We start from the raw sequence: 14,760 nt of genomic DNA on the forward strand, positions 1-14,760 counted from the left end.
GTGCATGCCTGTAGATGGATTGGGATGCAATGAAGAGAGAAGTTAAACAAAAAGGTTAAAAAAAGAAAGACCAGGCACAGTGGCTCACAACTGTAATCCCAGCACTCTGGGAGGCTGAGGTGTGAGGATCGCTTGAGTCCAGGAGTCTGAGATCTGCCTGGGCAACATAGGGAGACCCTCACCTCTACAAAAAAAAATTGAAAAAAATTAGTTGGATATGGGGTACACACCTGTGGTCCCAACTACTTGGGAGGCTGAGGTAGCAGGATCACCTGAGCTGGGAAGGTCAAGGCTGCAATCAGCTGTAATTGTGTCACTGCACTAAGCCTTGGTGACAGAGTGAAACCCTTTTTCAACAACAAAGGCAAAATCTTAAAAACAGGAAACAGGCTATTGAGGAAAATGGGTTAGAAAACTGCCTAAGAATCTTCACTAAAGTAATCTTCTAGTCCTTCCATATCCATTTCCAGAGAGGAATTTAAAGAGGCCAGAGCAGATGATGCATCCTTGGTTTTCTGGACACTTGGTTTGGGTTGAGGAGTTTCTGGTTGGATAGGTTCCTTCTTTATGTCTTTACCACCATTTAGAATACTTTGGCTCTCACAAAAGAACTGATTAGGATGATTCAAAGAAAAGCCACAATCATCCACCTGTAAAGGAAGGAAATTTATATTGCATTAATACATGGCAAAGCTATAAATATATGAGTTTCAAAAGCTGTTTTAGTACTTGTTTAAAACTTAATACCTGAAACATGGATTCTAGCTGTATGCATTCTAACACTTAATCAGCTACTTACACCATTTCATTCAAAGAGAGCTTCAACCACTACCCAAACCTAAATGGCTCCCACATTTTTATTTCTAGTCTGAGCCTCTGTGTTTGGCTCCAGTTCCCTGTCTAGTTTCAGTCCCATATCCAACACCTACTCAACATCTAAGATGGCTCAAAAGCAGCTCAAACCCAACAGGAAACATATTCTTTCCCCTTTCCCCATCCTTTGCTCTCAGTGACTGGTATCACCATTCATCCTTGGGGCATACTAGACACCTTTCTCTCACATCCCCAGCCCCCAACTCCCACCTGCCACCTCCCATCTACACCAAGACCTCAATTCTGGCAATACCCAAAACATTACCAATTCTGGTTGACAATTACATCAAAACAAAAAATTAGAAAACTATAAAAATGTGTTTGGAATACAAACCTGTGTGTGTGTGTGTGTGTGTGTGTGTGTGTGTGTGTGTGTGTGTGTGTGTGTGTGTGTGTGAATGACATTGTATGTTAGTGAGGCACAGGTTAGGGACCTGTGTGATTCACTATTGTATCCCCAGTTCCAAGAAAAGGCCTACCACATTGTAGGCCAATAAATATTTGTGGGTTTTTAAGTGATTGTAAAATCATTTTTGATCATTTTGATACTTGTCCCTGATACCACTTGTGTTTTAGAGCTGACTTGTAAGTCTGGCATGTGCGCTCCTTTAGTATGATATAAACTGAAAAAGCAACCTAAGTCAATGTAATTCTTCATTCTAATCTTGGCCTTTCCTTAGTCTTTTTACAGAAAATCTCTTCTTGTAAATTTCACTGTGACTGAATACAAACATGCCTGGTTCATAACTTATTTTTTCTCAAATACTATCATTAAACTTTAATTTTGAGTATCATTTCAAATTATGCACTCTAGTAATCTCTCCTTATATTCAGTTTCACTTTCCACAGTCTCAAATCCCTGCCTTCTCACCTTCTGCAGTTGGAGTTGACAACAAAAATATCATTTTGCTTGAGTGAGTGACTGTTGGTTTCTTTGGTGGTATTTTCATTTATCAAGTTTTTGGAAACTGAGAAGTGATTCCATTTCTTTTGTTCATCTGTCTTGTATTAACTAATCCTTTTACGTCTCACCCTTCATACTGAAGTGACTTGCACATTGTAGGTATCTAATAAATATTTGGTGAAGTGAACCCAGAAATAGTGTATACCAGTGATAATTTTGCATATTTAATTAAAGCCTTACTATATAAAAGACTGTGTTATAAACTATTCGCTATTCAGCATACAGGAATATATTTGACTAACTCAAATTTCCAGCCCAGTAAGTTACATACTTAAAAACCTCTACCAAGAATGGAGAACTGATGAGGGTCACAGATAAAGGCCTATTACACTCCACAGTAGAGAGAAATTTCGACTGAGGAGATCAAGGAAGGCTTTGTAAGAGGAGTGCTATTTGAGTTGCGTCTGGAAAGATGGAGGGAGTGAAAAGCTGGGATGATGAGGGGAAAGGCAATATTTGCAGCAGGGCCACATGAGCAAGGTAAAGAGGGAATGTCCTGGGAAAGCAAATATTAAATAGTTCACATAGCCTATTATGAAAGGCACATACAAGGAAACAATAAGGAATGAGGTTGGAAAGACAGGCAGGGGCCAGCCTGAGAGAGCCTTGAAAATCAGGGTAAGTGGTCAAGACCTAATTCTCTAGGCAACAGAGTCACCAAAAACCCTTAAAAAGAGACGTGGTGTGATTAAAGCTATGTATAATCTTATAGTAGATTAAAATGAATTGGTCAGGGAAAAAGGGGTTGCTGCTGCGGTCTAGAATGAACCCTACTGGTGGACGGACCAACAGACAGAAACATGAGTCTTTTCTGGTAATACTTATTTAAGCACCCTAGGAATCTCTGATTCTCTTTTGCTAGTTGTTAATACATGTTAGGCTAATTTTATAGTAATTCCAGGTTGTAACAGATGGATAGTATACAGACTGATTTTAAGAGTTATAGATCATTAAGAACAAATTTTTATCTTGCTTTATTTTTTTAACTTAGCTGCTTGATTTCAAAATGTTTCTGAAATGTTTTATATTTATAATTTTTATTAACAATGGAATCATTTATGAACTTTTTTATTATGAACTTTTTTGTTACATTCAATTTTCACCCAATTCATTAAAAACTGAGAAATCCAATATAAATTTTGCATTTTGCAATGTGTTTCACAAAAAGTATGTTTATTGTCTAATACATTTTAATCAGAAGGCCTTATAGTTTGTAAAATAGTTTGTAAGCAGAAAATCAGAGATTAGAAAGACCTTGGGGAATCCATTAAATTCAATCTCCTCCATGTACAGAGGCCTAAGGAGAATAGATAGTTTATTCAAGGTCATAGAATTAGTAACTGGTTTTGTCTGAATTAAAATTCAGGCCTTCTGACTAGATCATTAGTTGCTCTGAAATCTGTTTTAAGAGATTGTATGCAAAATCATGCTGATAATGATATCTCCATTATAAATTTTATTTCTAGAGATAAACTTGGCTACAAGGATTATAAAAACATAGTTGTATTATTTCATGCAAAAATAACCTAGTATCTTATGCTATAATAATATCTTGGCATTTTCTATACCTCGCTTCAAGTTGTCAGTTATCAATACATTTATTAGACTTCAAATGAATCAATTATAATTCATATATTGCACAAAATAGGGTCATCTTCTTAAAGTCTGAGTTTCTCCATTGATGAAATGGAGATAACAGTGTTAGGTCATAGGGTTGCTATGGGAAAAGTAAATAAAAATGAATGTAAAAAAAAGAGTTGTTCTATGAAATCTAAAGAAAATGTTTTTAAAGAGTCAAGAAAAGCAAGTCACTTAAAAAAAAAGGTGGAGGTCACAGAAGGAGAGGGAGAAAGATCCTATTGCTTTGCATATATCAAGTTCCTTTTCTACTTTAAGGAATCCAAACTGGAAACGTCTGATGCTGTATTATGGGTATAGTTTATAAAAGAAAGATAAAATCAAATTCCAAACACTAAACGATACTCAAAAGACCCTGCCCTAACTAATAAATGGCATTTAAATGTCTTAACTTTAAGATATATTTAAGGTATGTGCATATCGTTAATGAATCCTCATTTTAATTAGTATTTTTTAAATTATACTTAAAGTTCTGGAGTCCATGTGCAGAACATGCAGGTTACATAGGTATATACATGCCATGGTGGTTTGCTGTGCCCACCAACCTGTTATCTACATTAGGGACTTCTACTAATGCCATCCTTCCCCTAGCAGCCCCACCCCCCCAAACAGGCCCTGGTGTGTGACATTTCCCTCCCTGTGTCCATGTGTTCTCATTGTTCAACTCCCACTTATGAGTGAGAACATGCAGTGTTTGGTTTCTGTTCTTGTGTTAGTTTGCTGAGAATGATGGTTTCCAGCTTCATCCATGTCCCTGCAAAGGACATGAACTCATCCTTTTTAATGGCTGCATAGTATTCCATGGTGTATATGTGCCACATATTCTTTACCCAGTCTATCATTGGTGGGCATTTGGGTTGGTTCCAAGTCTTTGCTATTGTGAACAATGCCACAATAAACATACGTGTGCATGTGTCTTTACAGTAGCATGATTTATAATCCTTTGGGTACAACCCAGTAATGGGATTGCTGGGTCAAATGATATTTCTGGTTCTAGATCCTTGAGGAATCGCCACACTGTCTTCCACAATGGTTGAACTAATTTACACTCCCACCAACAGTGTAAAAGCATTCCTATTTCTCCACATCCTCTCCAGCATCTGTTGTTTCCTGACTTTTTAAGGATTGTCATTCTAACTGGCATGAGATGGTATCTCATTGCAGTTTTGATTTGCATTTCTCTGATGACCAGTGATGATGAGCATTTTTTCATATGTTTCTTGGCCACATAAATGTCTTCTTTTGCAAAGTGTCTGTTCATATCCTTCACCCACCTTTTGATGGGATTGTTTGTTTCTTGTAAATTTAAGTTCTTGTAGGTTCTGGATATTAGCCCTTTGTCAGATGGATAGATTGCAAAAATTTTCTCCCATTCTGTAGGTTGCCTGTTCACTCTGATGATAGTTTCTTTTGCTGTGCAAAAGCTCTTTAGTTTAATTAGATCTCATTTATCAATTTTGGCTTTTGTTGCCGTTGCTTTTGGTGTTTTAGTCATGAAGTCTTTGCCCATGCCTATGTCCTGATTGGATTTGCCTAGGCTTTCTTCTAGGGTTTTTATGGTTTTAGGTCTTACGTTTAAGTCTTTAATCCAACTTGAGTTAATTTTTGTATAAGGTGTAAGGAAGGGGTCCAGTTTCAGTTTTCTGCATATGGCTAGCCAGTTTTTTCAAAACTATTTATTAAATAGAGAATCTTTTCCCCATTGATTGTTTTTGTCAGGTTTGTCAACAATCAGAAGGTTGTAGATCTGTGGCATTATTTCTGAGGCTTCTGTTCTGTTCCATTGGTCTATATATCTGTTTTGGTACCAGTACCATGCTGTTGTGGTTACTGTAGCCTTGTAGTATAGTTTGAAGTCAGGTAGTGTGATGCCTCTAGCGTTGTTTTTTTTTTTTTTTTTTTTTTTTTTTTTTTTTTTGCTTAGGATTGTCTTGGCTATGTGGGCTTTTTTTTGGTTCCATATGAAATTTAAAGTAGTTTTTTCTAATTCTGTGTAGAAAGTCAATGGTAGCTTGATGGGGATAGCATTGAATCTGTAAATTACTTTGTGCATTACAGCCATTTTCACGATATTGATTCTTCCTATCCATGAGCATGGAATGTTTTCCCATTTGTTTGTGTCCTCTCTTATTTCCTTGAGCAGTGGTTTGTAGTTCTCCTTCAAGAGGTCCTTCACATCCCTTGGAAGTTGTATTGCTAGGTATTTTATTCTCTTTGTAGCAGTTGTGAATGGAAGTTCACTCATGATTTGGGTCTCTGTCTATTAGAGGTGTATAGGAATGCTTGTGATTTTGCACAGAGAGTTTGTATCCTGAGACTTTGCTGAAGTTGCTGATCAGCTTGTGAAGTTTTTGGGCTGAGATAACGGGGTTTTCTAAATGTAAAATCATGTCATCTGCAAACAGAGACAATTTGACTCCCTCTCTTCCTATTTGAATACCCTTTATTTCTTTCTCTTGCCTGATTGCCCTGGCTAGAACTTCCAATTTTGTGTTGAATAGGAGTGGTGAGAGAGGGCATCCTTGTCTTGCGCCAGTTTTCAAAGCGAATGCTTCCAGTTTTGCCCACTCAGTATGATATTGGCTGTGGGTTTGTCAAAAAATAGCTCTTACTATTTTGAGATATGTGCCATCAATACCTAGTTTATTGAGAGTTTTTAGCATGAAGGGATGTTGAATTTTGTTGAAGGCCTTTTCTGCATCTATTGAGATAATCATGTGGATTTTGTCATTGGTTCTGTTTATGCACTGGATTATGTTTATTGATTTGCATATGTTGACCCAGCCTTGCATCCCAGGGATGAAGCTGACTTGATCATGGTAGATAAGCTTTTTGATGTGTTGCTGGATTCAGTTTGCCAGTATTTTATTGAGGATTTTTTGCATCGATGTTCACCAGGGATATTGGCCAGAAATTTTCTTTTTTTGTTGTGTCTCTGCCAGGTTTCGGAATCAGGATGATGCTGGCCTCATAAAATGAGTTAGAGAGGACTCCCTCTTTTTCTGTTGTTTAGAATAGTTTCAGAAAGAATGGTACCAGCTCTGCTGTGTACCTCTGGTGGAATTTGTCTGTGAATCTGTCTGGTTCTGGGCTTTTTTTTTGGTTGATAGGCTATTACTGCCTCAATTTCAGAACTTGTTATTAGTCTATTCAGGGATTTGACTTCTTCCTGGTTTAGTCTTGGGAGGGTGTATGTGTCCAGAAATGTATCCATTTCTTCTAAACTTTCTAGTTTATTTGTGTAGAGGTGTTTACAGTATTCTCTGATGGTAGTTTGTATTTCTGTGGGATCAGTGGTGATATCCCCTTTATCATTTTTTATTGCATCTATTTGAATCGTTTCTCTTTTCTTCTTGGTTAGTCTGGCTAGCAGTCTACTTTTTTGATCTTTTCAAAAAACCAGCTTCTGGATTCATTGATTTTTTGAAGGGTTTTTTGTGTCTCTATCTCCTTCAGTTCTGCTCAGATCTTAGTTATTTCTTGCCATCTGCTAGCTTTTGAATTTGTGTGCTCTTGCTTCTCTAGTTCTTTTAATTGTGATGCTAGGGTGTTGACTTTAGATCTTTCTTGCTTTGTCTTGTGGGCATTTAGGGCTATAAATTTCCCTCTAAACACTGCTTTAGCTATGTCCCAGAGATTCTGGTATGTTGTGTCTTTGTTCTCAATGGTTTCAAGAACTTATTTATTTCTGCCTTAATTTTATTATTTACCCTGTAGTAATTCAGGAGCAGACTGTTCGGTTCCCATGTAGTTGTGCGGTTTTGAGTGAGTTTCTTCATCTTGAGTTCTAATTTGATTGCACTGTGGTCTGAGAGACTGTTTGTTAAGATTTCCATTCTTTTGCATATGTTGAGGAGTGTTTTACTTCTAATTATGTGGTCAATTTTAGAATAAGTGCAATGTGGTGCTGAGAAGAATGTATATTCTGTTGATTTGGGGTAGAGAGTTCTGTAGATGTCTATTAGGTCCACTTGGTCCAGAGCTGAGTTGAAGTCCAGAATATCCTTGTTAATTTTCTGTCTCGTTGATCTAATATTGACAGTGGGGTGTTAAAGTTTCCCACTATTATTGTGCAGGAGTCTACAACTCTTTGTACGTCTCTAAGAACTCGCTTTATGAATCTGGGCACTCCTGTATTGGGTGTATATATATTTAGGACAGTTAGCTCTTCTTTTTGAATTGATCCCTTTACCATTATGTAATGCCCTTCTCTCTTTTGATCTTTGTTGGTTTTAAGTCTGTTTTATCAGAGACTAGGATTGCAATCCCTGCTTTTTTTTTTTTTTTTTTTTTTTTTTGCTTTCTGTTTGCTTAATAAATATTCCTCCATCCCTTTATTTTGAGCCTATGTGTGTCTTTGCCTGTGAGATGGTTTCCTGAATACAGCACACCGATGGGTCTTGACTCTTCATCCAATTTGCCAGTCTGTGTCTTTTAACTGGGGCATTTAGCCTCTTTACATTTCAAGTTAATATTGTTATGTGTGAATCTGACCCTGTCCTTATGATGCTAGCTGGTTATTTTGCTCGTTGGTTGATGCAATTTCTTTATAGTGTTGATAGTCTTTAGAATGTGATATGTTATTGCAGTTGCTGGTACCAGTTGTTCCTTTCCATGTTTAGTGCCTCCATTAGGAGCTCTTGTAAGGCAGGCCTAGTGGTGACAAAATCTCTCAGCATTTGCTTGTCTGTAAAGGATTTTATTTCTCCTTTGCTTATGAAGGTTAGTTTGGCTGCATATGAAATTCTGGGTTGAAAATTCTTTTCTTTAAGAATGTTGTATATTGGCTCCCACTCTATTCTGGCTTGTAGGGTTTCTGCAGAGAGATCCGCTGTTAGTCTGATGGGTTTCCCTTTGTGGGTAACCTGACCTTTCTCTCTGGCTGCCCTTAACATTTTTTCCTTCATTTTAACCTTGGTGATTCTGACAATTATGTGTCTTGGGGTTGTTCTTCTCGAGGAGTATCTTTGTGGTGTTCTCTGCATTTCCTGAATTTGAATGTTGGCCTGTCTTGCTAGGTTGGGGAAGTTCTCCTGGATTATATCCTGAAGTGTTTTCCAACTTGGTTCCATTCTCCCGGTCACTTTCAGGTACACCAATCAAACATAGGTTTGGTCTTTTCACATAGTCCCATATTTCTTGGAGGCTTTGTTCATTCCTTTTCATTCTTTTTTCTGTAATCTTGTCTCTTGTTTTATTTCATTAAGTTAATCTTCAATCTCTGATATCTGTTCTTCTGCTTGATCAGTTCAGCTGTGGATACTTGTGTATGCTTCATGAAGTTCTCTTGCTGTGTTATTCAGTTCCATCAGGTCATTTATGTTCTCTAAACTAGTTATTCTAGTTAGCATTTCCTCTAACTTTTTTTCAATGGTTTCTTAGCTTCCTTGCATTGGGTTAGAACATGCTCCTTTAGCTCGGAGGAAGTTGTTATTACCCACCTTCTGAAGCCTACTTCTGGCAATTTGTCAAACTCATTCTCCATCCAGTTTTATTCCCTTGCTGGTGAGGAGTTGTGACCCTTTGGAGGAGAAGAGATATTCTGGTTTTTGGAATTTTCAGCCTTTTTGCGCTGGTTTCTCCCAGTCTTTGTGGATTTATCTACCTTTGGTCTTTGATGTTGGTGAACTTTGCATGGGGTTTCTGAATAGATGTCCTTTTTATTGATGTTGAAGGTATTCCTTTCTGTTTGTTAATTTTCCTTCTGACAGTTAGACCCCTCTGCTGCAGGTCTGCTGGAGTTTGTTGGAGGTCCACTCCAGACCCTGTTTGCCTGTGTATCACCAGTGGAGGCTGCAGAACAGCAAAGATTGCACCCTGTTCCTTCCTCTGGAAGCTTCGTCCCAGAGGGGCACCCACCAGATGCCAGCCGGAGCTCTCCTGTATGAGGTGTCTGTCGGCCCCTGCTGGGAGGTGTCTCTCAGTCAGGAGACATGGTGGTCAGGGACCCACTTGAGGAGGCAGTCCCTTAACAGAGCTCGAATGCTATGCTGGGAGATCTGCTGGTCTCTTTAGAGCTGGCAGTCAGGAACGTTTAAGTCTGCTGAAGCTGCACCCACAGCTGCCCCTTCTCCCATGTGCTCCATCCCAGGGAGATGGGGATTTTATCTGTAAGCCCCTGACTGGGGCTGCTGCCTTTTTTTTCAGAGATAATTAATCTTTTTTTATTAACCACTAAAACAGTGCCAAGGGCCTTGAAGTGAGGATTTGTGCCATGGCTCTGTGATGCTGTTTCTCCTTTTTCTTGATCTGCAATTGTCCTTAACTCATTTTTGATGCTCTTTGTGATCTACTAAGTTGCTTGATAGCAAAATGAAATTATGAAGTTTCCTTTTTATAGAATTCTATTTTCTTCTAGGATGAGTTCTTTGTGTTCTGCTTCTTTCACTTTCATTTTTAAAGGAAGTGTACATGGCTGTTTCCTTTTGTATTGTTTAGGGAAATAAACTTAGGGGGTTTTTTTGTATGTGGGGGGAAGGGGAAGAGCATAAACTAAAGAGAATGGAAATCTTCACTTTAAAATTAAATTAGGAAAAGGAATAGAGAAATAGAGGTATCCACATCTAAATCCTCCATTTCACTTATTTCTTCTCAGGTCAGCAGCTATTTCCTTTACTCTGTTTGGAAATATTAAGTGAGCATTTTCATGACTTTGTCTACTGTGACTCTTTTGTTTCTTTCCTTGCCTGTTTTCTTTTTTGGTTACTATTGCTGATGTTTTTCTTTGTGGTTGATGATTTCAAAAATTATGTTTTGTGCATTATTTTATGTATTGAGATGGGAAAATTCTGCGAAGCATTTGCATTCTACCACACTAGCTTGGTCCTAGTGTTTCAGGTCCAAAGACCTGTAAAGGATCTGAAGCAAATTTAGGAGTCTAGAGGAAGGTGGGTGGAGTGGAGGCCTTTAGAAGATACATTATAAATTTTAGATTTCATCTTAAGAGAAATAGGAAGCCACTGAAGGTTTTAAAAAGCAGGTTCCTGAAATGATCAGATTCCTCTATTTTAAAGGTCACTCCAGCAGCTGTGTGGAGGAGAAAGAATTGGAATGGGGCATGTGTAGATGCTGGGAAACGAGTTAACAAGCTATTGCAGTGATCCAAGTGAGATGATGGTGGCTTCTAGCCCAGCATTCTAACTGATATCCATAATGATGACCCTGAGTTATTATAAAAGGGCTTAATTGTATCACATATATCCTGTTTAAGATTGCAGGAAAATGTGTGATAGGTTTTAATAAGATTTCTCTAGAGATTTATATGGTGGGGAAAAATTATGCTCAGCCATTTGGAAAATAGTACCCACAGTTACTCAGTGTCCAAAGAGGTCTACCTCTGAAAACATTATTTTCTATTAAAATTCTGTGGTTAATCTACACATGACCTAGTGTTTTCATTTATACATGGAACATGCAGAAAGAATATACTATTAGTATAAAATTATTTTAAACATTGATCCTAAAAATACAGAGGAAAACAGGTTTCAAGCAGGCCAGCTTTTAACATCTACTAAATGAATCTCTCTTAAACATTTGTTTGGAATCAGCACATTCTGCGCACAATGACCTTCACACAAACATGGGTCTCATATTTCTGCCACTGCAAATGTAGAGTTTGAAGGAATGAAAGCAATATTGTTTTACCTATGGGATATTTGGGTTTTAATCAAGAGGTTTTGCAATGACAGCTTATAATGAGGCAGCTGGTATTACCAAAAAAGCCATATGGAACTATCATAGTGCTGCTGCAAATGGTATCAATTAACTGGTTTATTTTCAAAACTTCCATTTAAGTAAGTTTGATCACAGAGGCCTCGGGAAAATAAACATAGGATTTTATTTGGGGGAGGGGTAGGATGGCAGAAACCTGACAATAAAAATAGATTCTATTTTTAAATTAAATTAGAAAAAATATAAATGAAGGAGGATATTCACATCTAAAAGTCCACAGTGAGAGATCTAGTGAATACAAACAGCCTTTTTATTTTGTTGATTTAAGTGTGGTTTAAGTTGACTATTTTTATATGTGAGGGGATTTAGATATATGTCTTTCCAAAATCTTCATTAATCTAAAACAAGTTTTAAAAATTGGCAATAGTGGCAATACTTGAGGGAATAATCAATAGGAGAGATATTACAAAAGCAGATTTGAGAAATAAAAACCACTCCTTACTTTTTGGTGATTATGCCACAAACTCAATGTTTAAATCTAATTTTCATATCTTATTTTTATAAAAAGAGGTTGGATAATAGACTTCACTTGTGAAAATTCTGAGGCCTCTTAATTAAAAGCATCCACAAATGATTAAAGAACAATAGGAAATTAAAACTCTCAAGCGGAGCAACCAAATTAAAGAATGCAGTCTCCGAGAGAGTGACTCATATAAACCTGGTGTTGCCAAACATGGCTTATCTGGCGAGATTCCTAGTGTGATAAAACTAATGAGATTTTGTTGTTGCTATTTTCTTGATGTTTACTCCTTGAGTTTTGTTTTAAAAAAAGCTTTTAAATAAGAATAATACTTTCAAAAGTTAGGTATAGAAGAATGAGGACAGGACCCACAACAGACTGGGGCTCTAGCTCCAGATCTTCCATTAATCAATTACAGCATGTAAGGCAAGTTAGAGTCCCTACCTGTTTACCATGCTATGAAGATAAACAGGAAAATGCCAATTACCTCTGCTGTCATTATCACATATTTAGTACCAAATATCATAGGACAGTACAGTCATAGTTATGCTCACAAGCTTTAGATGAGTTAGACAGCTTGAATTTAAATCTAAGTTCTATCCCCTATAAGTAGTGTAACCCCACACAGATTGTTTAACTTCTCTAAGTTTTATTCATAGACAGGGAAATATACATATAGTATCTTTCTGTAATGTCAATCAAAAGAGCTAATGCGTTCAAAAATTTTAGTGCTGTGCCTGGTATACATTAAGGCAGGGGTTCCCAACCCAGTCCGTGGCCTGTTAGGAATTGGGCCTCACAGCAGGAGGTGAGCAGTGGGTGAGTGAGTGGAGCTTCATCTGTATTTACAGCCACTCCCCATCACTTGCATCACTGCCTGAGTTCCACCTCCTGTCAGATCAGCAGTGGCCTTAGATTCTCATGGGGGTGTGAACCCTATTGTGAACCCCACATGCAAGGGATCTAGGTTGCGTGCTTCTCATGATTATCTAATGTGCCCTCCCACCAGCCCCTGTTTAACCATGGAAAAATTGTCTTCCATGAAACTGGTCCCTGGTGCCAAAAAGGTTGGGGACTGCTGCATTAAGGGTTCCATAGATATTGGCTGGTATTACTATTATTATTTTAATTATTATTGGTAATATTATAAAATATCTTTTTCCTATGAGATATTTTATCAAGTAAGAAATTCTGCAATTATATAACCATAATAGAAAAACTACTTTGTAACAACCAAATAAAAAACATAAAAATAATTGTAAAACTTTAGCATGGTAGCTGATGATGATTTCAACAAATGCAACTTCCTTTTTGAGAGGGCATGGATCTTTAATAAGTAACATGGACTCTGGAAAAATACACATATGTACTTAGAGACAAAATGTTTCAAGAAGTACAAGGATCTCCAAAGTCTGTTCTTGGATGTCTTTCCCAGGTTAGAAATTCAGGCTCAGGATCAGTGGATGCAAACTAGGGTCCAGAGGATTGAATTGGACTTGGAGATGTGTTTTGTTGGCCTGCAGAGGGCCTCACAATTTGTCAATGTGAATGCCTCTAATAGGGCAAACATGTTTAGTGCACCATAATTCTGCCATACTCTGTGGTACTAATCTCAGGCAGCTTCACTTTTTTGGGCTATATGCCCAATCTCTGTAGGCCTCTGAGTTTGTGACATTGGCTTTACACACTTCAAAATCCATTCTGTGCCAGACTGGGTCTTTCCACTCTTACTCTAATAATCAAGCAGGCTTTTTTGTACTAAGGAAGCTGGCAAGATAAAAACCAAACACATTTCCCTGACTCGTGTACAGTTAGGGGTCCACATGCAATCTAGGTTTTGCCATGCAGATAAGTATGAGACTTGGGAAGTGGATTACAGTTAGATCAGGTGGCAGCCACAAGTACAAGGATCAGATTTTCTGCATGGAAGATGGCAAAAGCCTTGGTTCTTCTAGGCAGCTGTGGCAAAGATTCTAGATCTAGTCTAGAGGTTGGCAAATCAAGGCCCGTGGGTCAAACTGGGTCTACTACCTAATTTTATCAATAGAGTTCTATTGGATCAACAGTCATACCTGTCATTTGCATATTTTCTACAGCTGCTTTTGCACTACAACAGTAGAGTTGAGTAGCTGTGACGCAGACCATATGGACCATGAAGCCTACAATTTTTACACTCTGGCTCTTTACAGAAAAACTTTATTGACCCTTGGTCTCATCCCTAGATATGGAGTGGTGGGTGACAGCTGTAGTAAAGATTTTCTCATGATGTAGCTTCTCCTAGTTACAAAATATTCCTGGTTCTGCAGCATCCAAGCTTAGTTTGTCTGGTCATTCAATAAATGCTGTAGGTTACTTAATACCATGCAATCCCCTTTTCTGCTGAAAATAGCTAGAGTGGTTTCCATTGCTGCAACTAAAAACCCTGAATGTGACACAGTAACAAAAGACAAATAATTAGGATATAAAGTTAAAAAAATACTTACATTGTGTATCATCTCAAAGTATTTTTGACAGGCTACCTGGTAATGTGTCCCCTTTACTAAATCCAAAATCTAAAATGAATGAGGAAAAAGACAAATAAAAATTAGAAATTAAGTTTTCTTCTAAACCACTGTAGCTCACAGCTGTTGGCCTTTTCATAATCTTCATTCCAGACAGGAAATGCAATAAATCATGTAGCATGTTGTACTTCTGCAGCCTGGACACTGTGATAATTCTGACATTATACAGTAGTGGTTTAGGTCAGCATTAAACCACAGATGACAAGAGATAGTGATCTTTCTGGCCTACCAACTGTACATTTTAATAACTTTACCTCAACAACAAGATGAAAATGGATCCTGGTATGATGACTTTGACAGTTATTGTCAGAACATCATATTGCAACATCTCTCCGAAAACTGTAGATAGAAATCTAGTAATCTAATGGTTGGTGCATGAAGCAATCAAGTGTACTATTTAGATATGTATTTTCCACATTAATGGTTTATACAGATACAGCATAAAATACTGCTGTGTGCCCATCAGGAAAATTTAATGTAAACCCTTTTGGACAAGTATCTGTGAAGAGGGAATGCTTTTACCTTCAGTCAGA

At 37.6% G+C, this 14,760-nt stretch overlaps 1 pseudogene across 1 annotated transcript in view, besides 1 other annotated feature; it reads right to left on the bottom strand.

Moving 5' to 3' along the window:
• Positions 1-14,760: part of a centromere (Linear centromere model derived predominantly from reads generated in PMID: 17803354. This region does not represent an actual centromere sequence, as long-range ordering of repeats and unmapped WGS contigs is not provided by the model. For details of model production, see http://arxiv.org/abs/1307.0035.) that runs on past both edges of the window.
• Positions 420-14,760, bottom strand: part of LOC101930420 (DNA primase large subunit-like) — a 139,540-nt pseudogene continuing 125,199 nt past the window's right edge. Inside the window, exons 6-7 of the transcript NR_172933.1 lie at positions 14,150-14,218; positions 420-650 (exon numbers count right to left, since the gene is read on the bottom strand). The product of NR_172933.1 is annotated as a DNA primase large subunit-like (transcript). The remainder of the gene's footprint in view (positions 651-14,149; positions 14,219-14,760) is intronic.

The sequence above is a fragment of the Homo sapiens genome, chromosome 3 (assembly GCF_000001405.40).
Source record: "Homo sapiens chromosome 3, GRCh38.p14 Primary Assembly".
In the NCBI taxonomy this organism is placed as follows: Eukaryota; Metazoa; Chordata; class Mammalia; order Primates; family Hominidae; genus Homo; species Homo sapiens.